Below are 20,801 nucleotides of genomic sequence, written 5' to 3'. Positions count from 1 at the left end.
CTGTGAAACATGTCACTAAATTTAAGTAAATATGATAGAATATAATGACTTGCCACTAAGGTGAAACAAAAGGTATTTGGATAATATTGCAAATGAATTAATATCAGTTAGGACAAAGACAGCATGGGCACTTAAAAAAATAAAAAGTAATATTTAAATCATTGCTTTCTTATCAGAGAAATGTGTCAAAATACAAATAGGACATTTACAGTGGTTAAATATTCATTTACTATATTTCAATATAATTATCTACAAAATGACAGATTTATATTACAAAAAATATGTAATACCAATGGTAATATTGCATTATTTATTATTTTGTGTTGCACATTATTCAAACTACAACAGAGATGGGGGATCTTAAACTGTTTGGGAAAAATACTGATTATGTTTTAGCAAAGAAATAAGAGACAGAAAAACAACAGGTATAGAAATCAGCTGAAAATTTAGTTTACATGTATCCTGGACATTTGCTAGGACAGGTTTAAAAGAAGGAAAGGAGGATTTGGCAGAAGGAAAATCAGGTTCAAATGTCATTGCAATTTCTATGTTCCTTGAGCTCTAATTTGACTACAAAAATTGATGGTTGACTTTTATTCTTTTCAACTCAAGAAAACAATTGGTCATTTCAGAGCCTTAAACAGGACCTCACAAATTTTCTATCATAAAAACATAAACATGTTTTTTAACTGCATCCAGGCTCTGTAGAATCAGCCAATGTGAAGAGTCAGGATTTAAAGTCACAGGTCTTTGGTTCAAAATCCCAGATCTGCACATAACTTAATCCCTTATATCTTTCTTCATAGTGTCATGTATATTCTATAGCACATAGAAACAGCACACTGGGTTAACTGAAATCTGGATTCTGTGTTTACCTGCTATGCTTTGTATATGACCGTGCATTTGTTGTTCTGTGTTTCTGGACATCATATTTGTTTGTTTCTGCTAAACAATTGTGTTCAAGTTGTTAAATTCTATTCAACACCTAATATACACCAATTTTTCAGATTATTAATAAATAATAATCTTAATGATGGCAAAAGATAGTTACAGAGTACAGTACTACAGACATAAAGTAATGCCATGTCAAATATCACAGATTTTTGGGGAGCTCAAGTGTTAAGACCATAAAATAAAGTTCAAATACCATCTAAGACAATCTGTTCCATCTTCCTGCTAAAATTATATTTCCATCTTCATAAATGAATCAAATTTCTATGCATAAAGATAATTTTTTCATTTTTATTTCATTTACACCAGTATTTATTGAGCACTTATGATGGGCAAATCACATAGATAAAATACAAATACATGAGCAAATATAATTTATAAATGGATTACTTGTGCCACAATGATTACTTTCAAATCCATTCATAGCAGAATTTATTAAGATTCAAAAAGTGACAACTGATTTCAGATTTTTGTTCAGTCAATATTCAAAAGATATGAGTGCCAAATAAATCTACTTACTGTGCCCAGAATACACTCTTCATTTTTCTGCCACTGAGATTTTGCTTATGTCAGGTAAGAAAATTTTCTTCTATCCCCAACCTACGGATAACAGCACTAATTGGTCATGGCACCCATTACTGGTGACCCTGTATATGCCTGAGAATTCTTCTCATTAGCCACATCAGGAAGCATCCAAATTTTAATAAAGTTGGCATGCAAGAAAAAAAAGCATATATATATATTTCCATATATGTGTAGCTCTTAATGTACAGGATATTGAATAATATGCCAGCTAGACAATATTCTATGTCTAATGGTAGGGGTTCCATTAGATTTGGAAATATTCTCCATATGGCTATTGCTTCCACTGATTGTCCAGAAAAGCCAAGGGTATAATATTTCCTGATGACATATAGCTGGAAATTATTGTTTGAAATTCATAAGAATGGTCTGGGACAGATATGTATAACTACGAGCCAATAGCATAGAGATGAGAAAAATAGCACAGAAATATAGGGGATTTCTTTCAATGGTGAAAGAGCATAAATAAGTATTTGGAAAAGAGTTTTGCAGAGGAATGAATCAGCATATCAAAAAGGTCTCAAAATTCTAAGTTTATTTCATGTATAATTATTTTAATGTATATTGACCTGAGGACTTTGCTTCTATGGGAACTTTATTTCTGTATGTAGGTAGTTGTATGTCAGAGGATATGTGGTTGAAGAAGTGGCTAGAAAGGGTTATGAGTGATATAAATTTCTAAAATTGAATGGACCTTTAAACTCTACAGTAAAAATAAAAAAAATCTTTATTCAGCATCCATGATCGGCAAAGCAATGTTCTAGGCATTGTTAAAAAATCTGTGGGGGAGATTTTAACTAAAGTGTGAAGCTCTTTGAAGAGAGAACTTTGTCAGCACGCATATTGAGGCAGCTTAAAACACAACAAGGCCCCAGATAGAGCATTATAAAATTATGAAATATTTATTTTCTTATTTGGTGCCTAGGGATACTACAAATAAGCAAAAACACAATGTGAGCTTCGAAACTACTTATTAAAATTAAATCGTATGTGTATTGCTTCAGTGAAACACTTTCCTCTAAACCAACTAAAATAAAGGTGAACAAGAATCATAGACCCAATTAAAATAGATGTTGGATGAAAAGTTGGAAGCCATTTTGTTTTTAATATTCCAAATTAAAAATGCAGGTCGATGCTTCCAAGCATGGTGTGTGTGGTACTTGGCTGACGTTTATGTCTGGCCTAAGGTGAAGGGAAAGAATAGCTGCTGTTTTTGGCAAGCCCACCGATCATTTCTGCAGGACAGTAGGAGGACATGTTTATTTTGTGGCTCAAGACTCGAATCTTTGGTAGAAGTGTAAGGTAGCTCTTACTGGGATACCTGAAAAGGGACATGAGATTAAGTACATAGGTTTTTCTTTTATTTTCCCTGTTATCCTCCCAGAAATACTTCATATTTCAAAATTCAGACTTGCTTCTCAGACCATGTTCTATTGTTGTTTGTTCTTGGTTCCTTTTTATTTTAACTAAAAGTGTTTGCTTGATTTTGTTGGTTAGCCCTGGCTGTTTAAACTTAAACAAATGTTTAGTGGAGTGGCCTTATTTTATGAGATTTCCATTTTATTGCATATTTAGCTTATTTTTATTTAGCTCTCTTGCCAATGAGAATTGAAATGTGGCAAATAAGGGGGACAGTCAGCGGACAGCATGAAAACATAACACAGCTTACATACAAGGGATCGTGCCTGCTACAGAATAGGGGCCCAATAAGTGTATACTCTATTCTTTGTCCCATTGTAAGAATCAAATCATCTCTTTACCCCCCTCACTTTCTTTCTCTTTACTTTTCTTTCTCCTAGTCTCTCTCTCTCTCTCTGTGTGTGTGTGTGTGTGTGTGTGTGTGTGTGTGTGTGTGTTTGTGTCTCTGCCCTCCCACCTCTGCCTTCCTCTCTCCCCCCATATATACTCTGTTAAGGAAGAGAGGCCTTACAAGCAGTTGATAAGACTCTTCTCTATTTATCTGACTTGGGATAAACCCGCATCATCTAACTAACCTCATTTCAAACCAAGATTTCAAAACTGTCACATCAGGCCTCCTGATTTTAACTAAGTAACATTTGGGTTTGCATGAAGTTATGTTTAACCAGACTTCTGTGATCATAACTTTTGACTATAGGTTTCATCTTTTTACCAAACCTGATGTTCAAAAATCCTGTAACCACAACTAATTAGACAGCATCCTCCAATACAGGAAATGAATTTCAATTTCTGGCCATATTAATCTTCAATCAGCCTTTTGTAAGACAGTTCTCATTACACCTGGACCTCATGAGAAAAAGATTATTGTATATTTCATATATCTATCAAGAAAGAACATGAAATCATTTTGGACAAGCTAACATCCATGAAAAGCCAATTAAACATCTCAACATCAAATCAGCCATTCAGTGGATTTTTACATAAAACTCCCCTTATGCTCAATTATAATCTAAGAATCCACCAGTAATTTGTTTTCTATCTTTAGGTCCTGCACATTTGAAATCCCTTACATGTGATTAAAAATTATCTTCTTTGGAAAGTAAATCCTTTCAAATCAACTTCTGTTTATATAAAAGAAAGAAAGAGTAAAAGGAGAAAAAACATACCCAAAGACTATTCTAGTTTCATAAGATTTAGAGTGTCTTCATACTTTGTGCCGTCTTCTTTTTCGTAAGCTCCTCCTTTGTTCAGAGGCTTTTATCTAATTCCATTTTCTTTACTTTTATTACAACCAATTGGTCGATTATCTTCTGCCTCTACTAAGAAAAGCTCAGCCTACCTATCCTTGACAATGTTAGAAAATCAGTAGCTTTAAAAGCTCACAATCCTAAATTCCCAAAAGGAAGCAACTGTATTTTCTTTAGTCCAGTTGGTCTCCTAAACACTGACTAATGATTGTTATCTCTGAAACCTTATACCTTAGCACGTGATAAGATATGGCTTTTGCAATAAAGCATTGGTTTTTTACCTGTATTCAAGACTTCTGATTTTCTATCTATAATATCTAATAAATAAAATTGAAAACAAGCACTTTAGCTAGTAGATCATAGTTTTAAATGTTCTGTTGTTGTTGGGACATAGTTTCACTCTGTCACCCAGGTTGGAGTGTGGGGCGCAATCTCGGCTCACTGCAACCTCTGCCTCCCAGGTTCAAGTGATTCTCCTACTTCAGCCTCCCAAGTATCTGGGATTACAGGTGCACTCCACCATGCTTGTGTATTTTTAGTAGAGACAGTATTTCACTATGCTGGTCAGGCTGGTCTTGAACTCCTGATCTCAAGTGATCCACCCACCTCTTAAATTGCTGGGATTTTAGGTGTGAGCCACCACATCCAGACTTGAATGGTTTGCTTTAACTGTCACTCAAACTTCCAGCTGAAGTCAAAATAGGATGAAAATGATAGAAATAGGCTGAGAGGGCATTCTTCAGTGGTTCTTATATTTGATGTGAGAATTGAAAATGCTGACATCATGGTTCCCACCTGCAAAGACTATTTAAATTGCTTTAGGTGAACTCCCAGAATATTCATTTTTAATAAGTATTCCAGGTAATCCTAATCCTGATGATCCTCAGTCTATATTAAGAAACATCACTCTAGATTTACTAAACTCTATATATGAATCTCACAATCATCTGGGAGTTATGTATTTTGATAATTATGTATATTTCTTACGAAAACACCTTTATGTGTATACATATTATCACTTTGCTTTATAAAAATTTGTATATGGTATAGCCCAATCAAAAATATTTCTAAATATTTTGTGAAACTACTGGTGCAGCCACACTTCATTATGTTGTTAAATAACCTGCTTATACTGATTTTGCCCCAAATTTCTATTAGATAGTATTCTCTAAAAAACTCTTCATGAAATAAGATACTTTCTTTTCTTAAATACCTATGAAACATATACTATACTTCCTGCTTTTCTTTGTCCACCAGGAATTTCAAAGTTGATTTTATGCTCAGCAATGTTTTATTCAACATAATTTTTATTCTCCATCACTTTCTGTCACCTTTAATACTTGATGCTTGCCTAATCATTTCTGTTTATTCGACAATAAACTGTTGCAACTCCTCCTTGAAAATGCACAGAGTAAAAAAGTAATGAATGAATAAGTATATAATTTCAAAACAAGTCTGATAGAGTCATAAGATTTTTATAATTTGGTAACCCAAAATCACTAAATGTTGGATTTCTAACCTAAAAATATGTTTTGTATGGTGACTCAAAATTCCAATTTCTAAATAGGAAATTCCTTTTGATTTATGGTGTGTCATCAATCAACAACTCTTCAGTAATTATTTCCTGCCTAATTGTCTACTGATGTGATAGAGACTTACTCTAATGCAAGGCAAATATGTACTATATTTAATACTGTTATATAGTCAATAGTAATAACAATATAATAGCAATCCCTCATATAGCACCTATTTGTAATGTTATTTTGCAAAGTGAAATTTAAAATGGCTTTTCCTATCTCCCACATCCCCAAATCTTCTTAAAAATATTATCAATAGGTTATGTTTCCCAGCAAAATAAGATCGGTCATATAGCTATATATCCACATATGCATCTGTATATAATATTGATTTACACATCTGTACATTTTTGTATTGGTGTATATGTGTGTGCTTCCCAAAATGCAGATTTGAGTACACATTACACATTCACACATATTTTAGTAATATTAAAACAGTATGTACAGATCCAAAAATTGTGAATTAAATAGTGTGGAAAATAATAAAGGAAACAGAAGTAAAAGGAATGTGAGTGGTCTATAAAGTGATTTCTTAATTTATTCATAGTTTTTGCTTAATATAGTGTATTTCAGAATATATTGCCAACATTTGCTACTTGACTGAAAAAAAATCCTCCCTTTAGCTTTTTTTAAGATAAAGAAATCTTACCTTTCATTTAGATAACTATGAATGTATTTGGACTCTTTCCATAAAAATAATAAAGTTCTTTGCTAAATTGATAGGCACTTTACTTATCACTACTCTAGGACCATGCCAACCCTAAATAAAGTAAATAAAGTGTCCTATTTCCACAAAGAAGAGTCAAGAGCCATTTTCTAAACTACATTCTTTTTCTTTGTAATAGGATATTTATTGTGTTATCTTCTGAGATTTTGCATCAAATTAATACAATTTTAAATGCAAAAGCAGAAATTCCATATTAAAAAAGTAATAGCAGACAACAGATCAACATGTATACTTCTAAGTTAATTATGTTTTTCAAAACAACTGCCCTTTATTGCAAACATTAAAAAAATGCAAGGCAATCTATAAAAGATTGGAAAAATATTCATTTGAATTTCCATAATTAAGAATTTACTGAAATGGAAGTAATTTCTTTTTGACATCTATTCTTATGTCCTATTTCACAGTGATGTATCCTCTTCTGAATGTCTATGAGATGTTTTGAAATTAGTGCATTTTTTCTAACTATAGTAATGTTCTAATAAAATAGACAATATGAACAAAAAGACTTAATACTTTCTTGATTGTATATTCAGATATAATAAAGTATCTGAAAACCAATTGACTATCAACATCAATTCTCATACCTAATTTCACAAGAATAAGTAAACTAGTCTTGTGAGATATTTTCAGGTTTGATGTTTTCCATATTATTGGCTATGATATGTTCAGCCTTGAATTTAAACACATAACTGAAGACAATAAAATATTCTGCATTGTGAAAATATAAATACAGTGTTATTACCAGAGTAAATATTTTCAGGTTGAAAAAATAAAAGGAACCCAATGACAAATCATTGAGTTGGATAAAATGCAAGTTACAACTGCTACGCTTTATTTCTCAGCTCAAAAAGGTCACAGTAAAAGTAATACCAGTGGAACAATATTCTTAATTTCCTGTTATGTATTACATGAATTTATTTATCTTTGTTACTAGTTCAGTCTCTCATTAAAAATTACAAATAAAATACAAAGTCATCATCAGAGTTTTAATTATAACATGGGGAAACTTTTAGACCTGCACATACACTGCTTGGTGATGCTGCTCTGTTATGTTTTTAATATTTTGTTTAATGGTGGAAATAGGCATAAAGTAGAGAAAGAAATATAATGGGGGAACCCTCCAGTGTATTGTGCTGTAAAGAACACTGGACTTCAAATGATCTTCCAGAAATCTAGCTTAGATTCTTCCACTAACTAGACCCTATAATTTTATATAAATTTCATGACTACACTCTAACTTAGTTTCTTCAAGTATAAACTGAGACATTTCTACAAAATGATTTCTAACGAGCCTAGCAAGTCAAAATTCCATGACTCTAATACTTCTAGACTAAAGCAAAAAATCAAACATTAGGAATAGCCTGTAGGGCACATTCCTTTCTGATTCAATATTGTTTCTAATGTGCATTATTAGGTTGATCTAATTTAAGAAGAATACAAAAACACCTCATTTGATACAATCTAGACATATTTTCATAAGTTTGAATGTGCTATCTAAAACAATATGGAGAAGAATTTCATTTTTCCAAAGTGCACTAAGATGGTATAGGGTTAGACAGCCTTAATTTCTACAGCATGACGAAAGGAAACCAGCGAATGGTTGGAGTGTGCGCGCGTGTGTGTGTGTGCGTGTGCATGTGTGTGTGTGTTAGCCCCCATGAATCCTTGCTTCCTTATCAGGAAATAGGCCTCTGGAAAGAACTGGGTAAGATGCAGAGTTATCTAGAGGGCAAATGTCTTCATGGAAACAGCATGCTAAAGTGAGAGGCCACACTGAATTCCTCTAGATTCAAAAACTATTTTCACAATTTGTTCATCTGGAAAGCATACCCTTTTTTTGCATTTTTATGTTGTTAATCCAATTTTTCTTTCTCCAAACCCATGTATTTCCAATTATCCATTCATGGTTATAGTTTATTCTTCAGCATGGTGATTCTTATCAAAGCATTGCTTCTGCAAGTTTTCATCACACATCTGCTATAAACATGGTCTCAATTTAATTTGTGTTGAAAAATACATATCCTATGGCAATCTTCACAGATTTTAAGGTATGTAAGCCATTTTGTCTTTCAGGCTTATATAACTAACAAAACACCTGGAAAAGATATATATGTACCTACTGCAAAGTGACAAAAAAGGAATGAAAATCCTTTAACTAGAATTCAAAATGTGTGTAATATTCTTGAACACTAATATTACAATTGACAACTATTAAGTATGCAAATCTATATTCAAAAGAAATAATTATCTGCATCAGTTCCCAAATAATTCCATATCCACTGAGCACTAGCCTTGTCTTTTCAGCTAAAATATGGAATTCAGTTTTCATTTGAACTAGTTTTATTTGTGTTATTAGTAACAATTTACTTATGTATTAGAAAATACTCATTTTTTAGATAATCTCCTGAATAATTGGATATAAATTTTAAGCTAAGGTAAATATAAAAAACTAATGAAGGATGAAAATTTATTCATGGTAAATAATTTTAATTTGACCATTTAAAAATGTTTTAAATGTTTTAGAGCATTTGCTCCTTTTAACACAGAAATCATATCCTATCCCTACCATGCTCACAACTCTCTAATGGCTCCCCCTTTCATCTTAAATGAAATCAGAAGTCTTTATTGTGGTCTATCATATCCTACATAGTCTAGTCCTAACTACTTTTCAGATTCCATTTGCTACTAAGCCCCTTACTCTCTTTGCTTCTATTACAGGGACATTAGATAGAATTGATGAAACTTCATCCCACCTTGAAGTCTTTGTACTCCTTTTCTCTCTTCCTCTAATTCTCTTCATCCAGATAGTCAGAAAGTCATTTCATCACTTTAATCAGCCATTGGCTTAAATGCCAACCCCTTGGAAAAGCCTTGTTTGTCCCCTATGCAAAATAGCAGGCTTGTTACCCAGATGTATTTTGTTCATAGCACTCATCTCTACGTGGCATTATATCATATATTTACATTTTTATTTCTGACTCTTCCACTATTTTAGTTTTAAATAGTTCCTAAGGTGAGAAAGTTGACCTTTTGGTTACTGCTGTGGTCAATGACAGGTAGCAAGTGATCAACAAAGGTCTATTATGTTGAATTGAACTCTGTGAGCCACAGTCTGATTCCCTGAGAGTGTATGTTACTGGTGTTATTTTGGGTTTCCAAGAGCACTATTACTGATATTGTTAAAAGTGAAGAAAATGAAGAAGACGGAAGAATTAGGTCCACATAAAAGCAAAAAAGACAAGACCTTTTACTTTTAGAACAAAATCTTCCCATTCTATTTGACATTATCTCAACTGTCATCCTACTCTTTCAATGTTATTTTTTCCCATTATTAACCTCTAGGAACTCATTCCCTACTCCCCCCACACTTTTAATGATTTAGATCATTACATAATAGACTTGTCAAAATTCCCAAGGCAAAATGGATTGCGTTATGCTAGAATATATACCTACATTTATCTTTACATTTTGTAATCTGCCTTTTAATTTCTTAGAATGTTAACTTCTTCCTGATGGTGATTACATTGAGCTTTTCCTGACAGAAATTGCATCTATCTCCTATGTCATTTACAGACAATATTTCCCTATTTTAAAAAATTCTATTTTATGCATAAATGAGAAAACCTGGATGAAAAACAAGAGTTCCAGCTTGTGTTACTGGTAAGAGAGAACACCTTTCTAGTGATGAAGCATCATCAAAGTATCTGTTGACCCATGGGCTTTTTAAGCTACTCGTATTTACATAAGGAACTGGGCTTTCAAGGGAAGGTAGTATATTTCTATGTTGATTCACCTATATCATGAAGCATCTCCATATGCTTCCCAAAGGCATCCGCAATTTACCTGGACTTCACCAGAAATCAAACTGTTCAAGAAAATGGCAACTGGTAGCCATTAATTCTAGCCTTTGCAGAGTAGTTAGTTATGGATGAAAAAGTTGAGGTCTCACAGCCCTTCCCAGTCAAAAAGAGAAAAATTAAAAGGGTACATTTAGTAGATGAGAGGACAAAATGTTCAAATAACAAATGTAAATACTTTTAACATTGAACAAAGCAAAATAATTTGGCTTAAGAGTAGCAGATTATTGCTAATGTTGAGATGGCACAGCTCCATGGCTAAGGAGCTCTCCATGGCGTACAAGTGCCATCTCACACCATGATCAGCAACACATTAACATAGATATTTTCCTACATTTGAGCACCGAACTAGGTAATAACTCCCCAGAAGGTATACACTCAAACCTCAAAAGCCTTTCAATTTAGTTAGAATGTCAAGAGGTAAAACCATAAATTATATATAAAAATGACACTTACTAATATCAAGCACAATTCCAACTATAAATGACGTAGGCTTGCTTAGGGGGCTGAAAAGCCTTCATGGAGAAGGTCAACGTAAAGGCTGCCTCTCAAAGGAGAAAACTAAAGGGCAAAACATTCAAAGAGCAGTGCAAATATGCACAAAAATGGTGTTTCACCCTGGGGTTTTTTTTTTTTTTTCAATATCAGACGCTATCCCACATCATCAAATCTAGCTGCAGAAGCTAGTGGGAGAGCAATGCTTATACATACATATGTACATAAATACATACATACATGCATACGTGTGTGTGTATCCCTGCTTAGAAAACAATATAAGACATATGGAGAGTAGAAGGGAGGAAAGGGAATGAATTCATTATCACAACTTTAAAGGAAAAAATATACTTCCTTTTCAGTGAATGTTTATTTCACCATTTGTGTTCTTTCAATGAAAGAGAAGTTAAATTGCATATTTTTAATGACTCATAGGCCAACTCTTTCAGGAAATTAGGGCAAAATAACTGAATTCTTTTCCATCAGGCCAGGTAAAAGATTCACCATTGAGTAGTTTGCCGCCAAACGGCCTGAAAGTTCACTGGATGAGAATACAAGGTTGTATTATATCAGATGGGCACCATTATGATAAACCCCAGTGCTGTTTGAATAAATGCAGAGCCAGCAGTGATATTGAGGAATGTGGAATGAGTCACATCAATAGAACTAAGGGAGAAATGCACTACATTAATAGAATAAATAGCAAATGTATTCCTTCTCTTATCCCTGTATAATCAGCAGCAGTCCCGATAATTATTATAACACATTTCTAGATAATGTTTTAGGGTCTTCAGAAGAAAATGAGCATAAAAGTGAAATTTCAAAAAATATTGCTGCTATCCAATTATGTAACTATGGACAAGCCACACAATTCTTAAATGAACAAAATTATTAATTTTAAATAAATGATGGGTCACTTTTCTTCCACTAGGAATGTAGAGATCAGGTAATAAGAAATTTGAACTTTGTGACTCATTTTCAAAGATGAGTATAATTGAGAGGAATGTTCAGAAGTAAATGATGTAAATATAAAAATAAAATAAGACAGTTTATCAGTAGTCTAAAGGAAAATTAAAAATAAAAAAGAATAGCATAACAGACCCACTGAAAATTTAAAAATAGCGTTTTCTCTAGGGTACTATGTTGAAATAACACATATTAAACCTTTTCTGAAATACCTCTGTCTGGCAACCAAGTAAATGCTGAAGTACTACAGGCTGGATTAACATACATATTTTTAAATTCCACATCAAATATTGTCTCTAATTCAAGTGATGGCTAAAACAAAATGAAGACACATAAGATTTGGTTACTTGTAAGGCTAAAAGAGGAATACATACCACATTTCTCTACATTTCTTTAAAAGTTCATTTTCAACTTCCATCAACTAACATTTTCTATAAAGAACTTTACACAAATATGTCATAGTATGTCAAAATAAAAATAGATGTTACTCATATTATGGCACTTCACCAGAAAGATAAATTTTGGTACTTCCTACCTTTTAAAGAGTTTTATATTAATGCACTAGCAATAGTTATGTATAGATGTTGGCACAAGGGAAGATAATTTCACCCATTTCAGTAACAGCTGGGTAAACTTTAAGTCTCTACATAAATGATTCTGCAAGATATACTCCCATCATTACCCAAAGCTATATAATCAGAATACTGACAGGTATCAGGAGAATAGTATTTAAAAGTTTATCCTTCTCTTTAATAATATATAATTATAACATAATGTTATCGTATATCATAGATATGATCATATATATGCATATGATAAATTATTTCAAAGTATGCCATTCTAAAAAAGGAATTTCCCTGATACATCGCTATGAAAATTTAAGTGAAAACTTTTCTGCTTTTTTGTTGTTCCTTAAAATAGTAATTCACCAAACGCACAAAAATTGAAATATGGCAATTATGCTAAGTTTTCTGGCAGCAAAGATGTAACGCCACCGTATTTGTTTTAGATAAATATATAATACAAATTAAATTTTTACTTTCCCAAATTTGTTCTGAAATCAGCATATAATTTATATCGTTAAAATAATAAAATTTATCTCTAAACATAAACTTTACAGAAATGCCATGTAGCAACTTTCCCATATTGAACACTTTGATGAAAACAATTTTGTTTTAAAATTAAAGTGAGATGAACCACAAAAATAACACTCCTGAAATTCTTAAGTTTTATATTATGAGTAATATGATCCCTTCTTTTAAAGAAATTGTCTAAATGGTAATAAGACCAAGAATGCAAATATTTATATTACTTAACATAATAATAACCCTTCAATTATTTAATGTGCCACCTGGTACCACTTCTAATTTCCAGATCATGTGTATGAGGTGCAATAGTAAACTGAAGCTTGACACTGTCTAGTACATTTTTACAAAATAGTTTTTGATTATTGGTGAACACTTGGAAATTTCCTAAGTTTAGCAAGATTTGAGTACTACAATCTAAATGAAAAATAACAACTGGATGTTATTTTCCAAAGGACTTTAGGACAAAAGAGGAGTTCCAGGTTCTTTTTCTAATAAGGCAGTTAATGGCAGTAACTAGAGTTTACATTATGGAAAGGGGAGCCGGGTGGATAAAAGGGTGATTCAGGGACCTGTGAAATGCGCTCAGAAAGAAGGGATGAAATGGAGGAACAGAGCTACCTGATTACTCAATCTAAACACTTAAAAAAAATTCTGACATTATTTTTTCATTTTTTTTAAACTGTGCTTTCTATGTTTCCTACTTTAGTAGGAAATTAAGTAGCCTGAAAACTATTTTTAAAGCGTTCATTTTTCTGATAGATTAAGTAATGACTTATACAGTAAGCATAGTCAAGTTATAGTCTACTGATATATTTGATATTTCAAGGAGCAAATAAAATGGTGATACAAATACACCTTGGTTCTAAGATAGACACACTCAGTTCTTTAGATCATAAAACCAACTGAATATTGTCTAAAATACTCTAGAAGCTGCAAATGATTCTGCCAGTCCTGAATGACAAAGCTCTTGGTTATTTATTCTCATGTAGATAACGTTCATACGAGATGGAACTTTCAATAACCACTGTTTACAATCACATTTTCACTTCTATTATCACTAATTGAAGAACATTTAGCTCCATTAAAATTAATAGCCCCATAAAAAGAGCTCAGATAACTCTTGATAATCATTCAGACATAGTTGGATATTGGCTTCAACTATTATTTCCCAGAAAGTTTGCACCTTACACTTCATCCTCTAAGTATAGAACTACAGCCTAAACAATAAAGTTAGGCAATGGCTTTTATTGAATATTTTGTATTATTAAATAACTGAGTCACAAAGATGGCACCAAAAAGGCAGGGCTTATAAGAATCTGTTTCTTCAGGGTACAATACATAATACATTTTGATGAGAAATTAAAGACATTTTTCTATGAAATTCTGTTATATTATAAAGCATATGATTTGTCAAGTGTCCATATATGTTCTCATTTTGATTACATCGACATTTCCACATCTTAAAAGTATGACTGCTCTATTCCATCAGGATCATTAATTAGCTTAATTTCCTGAAAATTAAAATGTTCAAATTCAGTGAAGCTAAGTCTTTAAAGTAACTTCCACTTAGCTTCCAAGTTCTGAGAAAGCGTGTGTATTCAATGCTTCTAATCCACTTACTTACCTATGAAACATGTGAACTAAATCCACTGCATAGATTTTACTCAGGCAATATAATTCAATTTCTTAAATATTTTCAAAAATGGGTGCTTTTAAGTATTTTATTTACATAATAAAAAATTGTCACTAATGTTTAATGTTGTCTCATATTTTCCTTGAAACAAAAATAAGCTTCAAAATAAAATAAAAATTGGAAAGTCATTTCCAGAAACAAGTTTTAAAATAATGCTAACTTCTCAAGTCTAGTATAGAACTATTAGCTATATGAAATTAGAATTCTCATCAACATTCTTTTTATACCTATATTCAATCATATAGACACTATATAGCATTAAAATGATTCACTGATACCTCAAGAAACACAGCCATATATACCAAATTTTTAAAGTGTATTTCATTTTAATAGTTCTCCCTTCCTATTAAAACAGAATCTTTTTTATTCAAGTGTACTTCTAATTTGACGTCATGATGGTGATTTGCACTACCCATTTGTCCTTAATAAGGATCTCCTGCTACAAAATGACAAGACAACAAAAACAAACCTCTTTGATAAAGAATCAGCACCTACACTGCGAAGGCATTCTGCATCATCCTTATCCTTATAAACTGTCACAAATTTGCCAACAAGATAAAAAGGAAATATAAGAAGTAGAACATGGATTTTCACTAATTCATTTTTTAAATGTACCAGTAGGTCTTTAAAAAAATGAGACTAAATAAAAATCATAAATCATTGTATTTTTCTTTACCCCAATTTCTTGTTTAACCTAGCCTAAAATTCTTCATATATAAACTATTCCATTAGCTGGCCACATGACATGAGAAATTCTGTACAACACAATATGTCTAATAAAATTAAGTTGACTTTAACCACAATGTCATTTAAAGAAGCCAATTAAATTATCCAAAAACACAAAGCTTAAAGAGTAGCCTTGGGAATAACTTTTTTCTTATAGCCATTACCAAATCCTCACTAAACTGATTACCTATGCAAGAATAGTAGCACAAAGCTGAAGAAAAGGCACTCACATCACTCCCCAGCTTATCTAAGAACTCATAAAAGTAAAAAGATCTAACCATTTTATTTTATTAGATTCTCTAATATGTAAAATGCTGCTACTTTTCTGCAGTTTAACATTATTAATCATTTGCCTCCTTTCCTTTTCTCTACTACCTAAAAAAACTTAATTCTAGCCCTAAAAGTATATTAAAAACAACAGCATGAATTCAGAAATTTGTCCCTTTGGTTGCAGAACTTCATTATACCCCCAAAAAAGAATTCACAAAAAAATTCTAAAAGGAAATTAGGACCCCAAATTTTATAATACAGCCAGCCTTGGTGACCATCAATCTTACCAGATACTGCTCTATCTTCTATGTGTATTTAATGGGTGTGGACCCATTGCCTGATGGGATCTGTAGATTCTAAAAAAAAATGTGTGGATGACAGTCTTTTGCTTCTTTTTTTGAAACTATGAACCTAGAGCTTGAAATATGTTGCAAATTTAATTCCACTGCATATTGTAGAGTTGATCAGTTTCAGCTCTGATATTCTAAAAGACTGAATAACCTATCAACCATAATTAAAGTGCATACATATGAATATGTGCATATATATTATAAAATACTTTGATAATTACATCTACAATCTATGTATTACGATGTAAAATAGGAATTATGGTTCTTAGAGGAAAAATGTACACCATAAGTATCTATTCATATGAAAATAATAGTTCAAGTATACCTGGAAACTTTTCATTTAAATGCATTGAACCACTTTATAGACATTTCAATATACATTGTATATATTTGTGTCTTTATTAGGGCATAGATTTTGTTTTTCATTGTCATATTTTTATATATTAATATAAATATTGCTACTACTTTCATATATTCAGGAATTCTAAAATTTCTTTGTATCTTTATCACTTTCAGGCATCAACATTTGCCAGCAATGCCTTAATACTTCAACGTGTGTATTATACCCATTTCACAGATGAAAAGAGTTTTGCCAAACCATTTAGATAATGCTTTCCTAAACTCAGGAAAGAAAACAAATGATTTCCCCGGAGTTACCATGTAACCTCGATGGGTCCACAATCGCCTCACCCATACCCAACCTCCATCCCATTTCCCATTATGGCACCTACCCTAGTGTTGTCATGGTGACGATGGTATACCAGAAGGCTGCAGGGATGCTGGTGAACTTGCTAGCCGAAGACCCCTTCTCTGCGTAGAACATAACTGTAGCGAAGATGATGATAGCCATGGTGAGCGAGAAAAGCAAGAAGCCCAATTCTGAGGCACAACTCTTCAGTGTGTACCCCAGGATGCGCAGGCCTTGAGAGTGGCGGGAAAACTTAAAGATCCTGAAGACCCGGAAGACTCGGAGTGTGACAAAGGCTCCGCTGACGTCCTCATTGTCTGTCATCACCAGCCCAATGTAATAAGGCAGGATGGCCACCACGTCGATGATACTCATGACACTACGCACAAAACGGTAACGACTAGGCGCTGCAGCCAGGCGAAGCAAATACTCAACTGTGAAGATCATGACGCAGGCCGTGTCCAAGCAGAAGAAGGCCACAGCATACCGCTCTCCACAGGGCAGTTCTTTAATGTGACCTGGGCTTGATCCGCACGGCACTGTTTCCACCACATTCGCGATGACAGAGACGGCAATGAAAAACCCCGTGACATAGTAGAACACCAGGGCCATCGTGCTGGTGTGGGGGTTCTCGAAGGCCCTCCAGACCCTCTGCCTTGCAGTCATGGTGGGCAAGGCGCTCTCCCCAGCGGTGTCGGTATCCGCGTCGTCCTGCAGGCGCTCGGCGTTCTCTCGCCTGCGATCCTTGTACTCCTCATAACAGCAGTCGCCGATGATTTCCGGGATGAGGCCAAAGAAGGCCAGTTCTTCATCGTAAGCAGAGATGCACTCGTGGCGAGGATAGTGGAGCTTCCCAGTGCGGTAGAAATTCAGGATGTGGCGGAAGATGTCTGGGTCACGGTCAAAGAAATACTGCTGAGTTTCTGGGTGGTAGAAAAAGTCCCTCTCAGAACTGCCCAGTAGAGTGTCTGGGTAACGTTCCAGGGTGTCCTGCCACGTCTGGAAGCGGGTGCCACTCACATTCAGCACAATGAGAGCATCTTGGGTCCTTTTCCTCTCCTGCCTCGGGGGAGCCGGCATAGGCCCCGAGGCCACAGGCATCCACCCGATAGCCGCTGCCCTTGCAAAAGGCAGCCACGCTGCCACCCCCGCCGCCATGATTACTTGAAGCGGAAGGAAGAAGGGTAACGAGGCGTCTACAATGGGTCACCGAAGCAGCCAAAAGTCACCCACTTCCTCCAGTCAAGCAAAGTACTAGTGAGAAACGTGGTCCAGAGGTGTAACTCTTATTCCAAGATAGGGCTCCTGGTAAAGTCACAGTTCTCAGAAGGGCAACTTTCCCTCCAAGACAGGTATTTGGAATAATGGCAACAAAATACAACGTCCTAACAATCACCCTCAACAGAACCCAGCCAAATCTCTTCCTGCAGGTGGGCTAGGCCACCCTCTGGCACAAATAAGCACACAGGTGCAGCCGTTTCTTCAAACAGGTGTTTTTGATTTCTCCCCGGCACAGTCTGGATAATATAGGGTCAGTATGTGGAGTGTAGGATAGAGAAGACGAACGAGAGTCACCCAATAGAATTCTTTCGACGAATTAGGGAACCCTTACACCTACCCTTCTCACTCTTTCAAACCTTCCTTTCCAAGTAGCCCTTCCCGCCAAAGGAGTCTCAAAAAGGCGACCTGTTGTTGTAGCTCAGGAGATGCGGTCACAGCCGCTGCCCCACGTCTCTCTTTGGGGGTCCAGCTGCTGCTGCCTCTACTCCTCGGGCTGTATTTGCAGAGATGGAGGTGATGTGCAGTGGTTACGGTGGGGGGCGTTAATAGAGATTCTCCTCCCCCACGTCTACAAACACCCTCTGTGTCTGCCAAAAGCGTTCGCCCAATCGCCCCTTCACTCTCTTTTCAAGTTCAGCTCAGGTGCAGTGTGACAGTTACAGAGCTCAGGAGCTGGCAGCCGCCGCCGCCGTGGCGGCAGCAGCATCTGCTTCCGCGCAGAACGCGCCGCTCCCGCGGTACATACCTGGCCAAGTGCGCGCCGGGGCTTAGTTGCATAGAGACTTTCTCCTCGCCGTGCACCCGGAAAGGGAAGAGGAGAGAAAGCAGCTCGCGAGCAGCCGAATCCGATGCGCCGAGAGAGCATAAATAAAGCTCAAGCGAGCTCTTCTTTCCCTTCCCCCATCCCTCCGTGCCTCCCTCCTCCTTTTCACCTTCCAAAAGCCAGGCGCAGGCGAGCAGAGCAGCAGCAACAAGTTCAAAAGGTGCGGGGGAGGCGAGAACGGAGGGGACTCGCTCCTGCCAACTTACTGCGGGGCCACTGTCGCGGGAGCCTGGCCAGCGCGGTGCGGGGCTGCGGGGCGGCGGGGCTGCGGGGCGGCCGGGCGGGCGGCGTTGGCGCGGTGGGGCCGGGGCCGGGGCCGGCACGGGCTCTCGTCCGAGCGCGGAGGCAGAAGGCGCTCGGCAGCGCGGGGGCGCGGGAGGGCTGCTAGCTGCTTCCCCGCCAGTGGGTGGTCCTGCATCTCCCCGGGCTCCCCGCGCTGCTCTGCTAGTGCGATCAATAAATAAGGAGAAAATAAATAAATAACCGCGCGCACGCCCCGCCACGCAGGTTAGGAAAGGCGTCTCCTGCCTTTCCCTCGGCTTGACCTTTCTCCGCCCCCGCCCCCTCGGGCTCCTCTCGCTCCACCCCAGCCACCCACCAACCCCGGCGCAAAATGTCACCGAGGGAGAGCATCCAGGTGGATCTGCTGGGGAGAAAAGCGAGCCTCGGATGAACAAAGGGAAGCTTCACGTGCTGGGCTGCGGTGGTTTGGTGGAGGAGAGGAGAAAGGGGACCCGTGCCTTGCTTCTGCCTCTCGAGTCCCGGTTCAAGGCGAGCGTGGGAAAATGGGGGGAAAGAGAGCGAGAGAAGCTGGGAAGGAGGGTGAGCGGAGCGGAATGCGCAGGAATTGGTTGTCTTCTGGGGGCGACTGGAAGGCAAGACCCGCAAAGCTCCGACGCGGAATTTTTAAGTGCATTTCCTCTTTCTGTTTTTATTTATTTTCAAAACCAGATTGTTAACGTTGCAGGGATTGATATGCCATCTGTCCAACTTGCCAAAAAATCAGAGACTCTCCTCGATCGAGGTCTTGACACAACTCCTTTTCCCGTCCTTTACGAATAACAGGGATGTGGAGCCCTTTTCTAAATGTCATCGTCAAGGGGCGTGCGTCTCTGAAAGTTTGCGTCCCCTTCATCCTCTCTGCGCATCACTGCGCATATTTAAAATAGTTAAAAGAGTTAAAGGTGTTCGTATGAGGGGTTACTGAGGTAGAGAGACACAGGAAAATTGTCGCTACCAACCTTTTTGTTTTTCGCGTACCCCGCCCCCGAGTCATTAGGAATCATCCTTAAAACCAAACGTAACACATACAAGCCACTAGATGGCGTGGATGGCGAGAAGTTAAATCTGCACCTAAGGTTTGGATGCTTTAGGAAGGTGAAGGATCAAAATTAACTGGTCCAACAGAGAGTCAGATCACATAAACATCCCCAAACCCCTTCGCTGCCACCCACCTTTTTTGTGTTTATGTGACATATACTACTTAGGCTTGAGTCTGCATTTGGATAGTTGTGGGATGAGATGTGGAGAGTTTCCTTTTGAAATTCCTTTGAAAATTAAATCTAGATTACTGAATCATCATCATCATAGTAATTAAGATCTTTGGCAATAATGAGGCTTCATCTGTATTGATGAAGAATAGTAGCCTAATTTCTACCTAAAAATTACTTTTCATGGCTTGGTTTGACTGCCCTTGGTTTGTAAAATAAGTGGACTGTGTGTTGTACTTTACGGAAATTGACTTTTAAGCCCTAGAGATTACAGGCATGATGTGTCAACCTTGAAAATTTGAAATGGGATACGTCAAAGAAAATATATAAACTAAAAAATGAGTATAGAAAATAACCAGAGAATTTAAAATATCCTTATCATGTACAGGATTTTCTGTAGAGATAAAAGGGTATTTTTTGTTTGTTTATTTGTTTACAGAATAGAGATTTAAGGAATCCTGTGTCAGTAGTAATGAAGTCAGAGCTAATGCACCATTTAAGTTTGAGGACAAGGAACTGAAGACACCTGCTCTTTATCTATTTGTTTAAGTGAAAGATGCTTGTTAACCAA

General features: G+C 36.1%; 1 protein-coding gene across 2 annotated transcripts in view, besides 3 other annotated features; it reads right to left on the bottom strand.

Moving 5' to 3' along the window:
* The window catches only part of KCND2 (potassium voltage-gated channel subfamily D member 2), a 477,430-nt gene extending 457,911 nt beyond the window's left edge, over window positions 1–19,519 (bottom strand). Inside the window, exons 1-2 of one of the 2 annotated variants that reach the window (XM_047420346.1) lie at window positions 19,361–19,519; window positions 16,680–19,181 (exon numbers count right to left, since the gene is read on the bottom strand). In XM_047420346.1, coding sequence (XP_047276302.1) covers window positions 16,680–17,794 — 1,115 coding nt within the window. In that variant the 5' untranslated portion in view covers window positions 17,795–19,181; window positions 19,361–19,519. Of the gene's footprint in view, window positions 1–16,679; window positions 19,253–19,360 lie in introns of those variants that run through there. The other variant, NM_012281.3, reaches the window with a different exon arrangement.
* Window positions 18,487–18,556: an enhancer, noted in NCBI's record as "active region_26550". NCBI's record gives its function as "activates an Ori minimal core promoter by ATAC-STARR-seq in GM12878 lymphoblastoid cells {active_cell/tissue: GM12878}" and the evidence as "EXISTENCE:reporter gene assay evidence [ECO:0000049][PMID:35858748]".
* Window positions 18,997–19,146: a silencer, noted in NCBI's record as "silent region_18571". NCBI's record gives its function as "represses an Ori minimal core promoter by ATAC-STARR-seq in GM12878 lymphoblastoid cells {active_cell/tissue: GM12878}" and the evidence as "EXISTENCE:reporter gene assay evidence [ECO:0000049][PMID:35858748]".
* Window positions 20,066–20,165: a silencer, noted in NCBI's record as "silent region_18570". NCBI's record gives its function as "represses an Ori minimal core promoter by ATAC-STARR-seq in GM12878 lymphoblastoid cells {active_cell/tissue: GM12878}" and the evidence as "EXISTENCE:reporter gene assay evidence [ECO:0000049][PMID:35858748]".

Source organism: Homo sapiens, chromosome 7, assembly GCF_000001405.40.
Source record: "Homo sapiens chromosome 7, GRCh38.p14 Primary Assembly".
NCBI lineage: Eukaryota > Metazoa > Chordata > Mammalia > Primates > Hominidae > Homo > Homo sapiens.
This window is presented reverse-complemented; position numbering and strand designations above follow the sequence as displayed.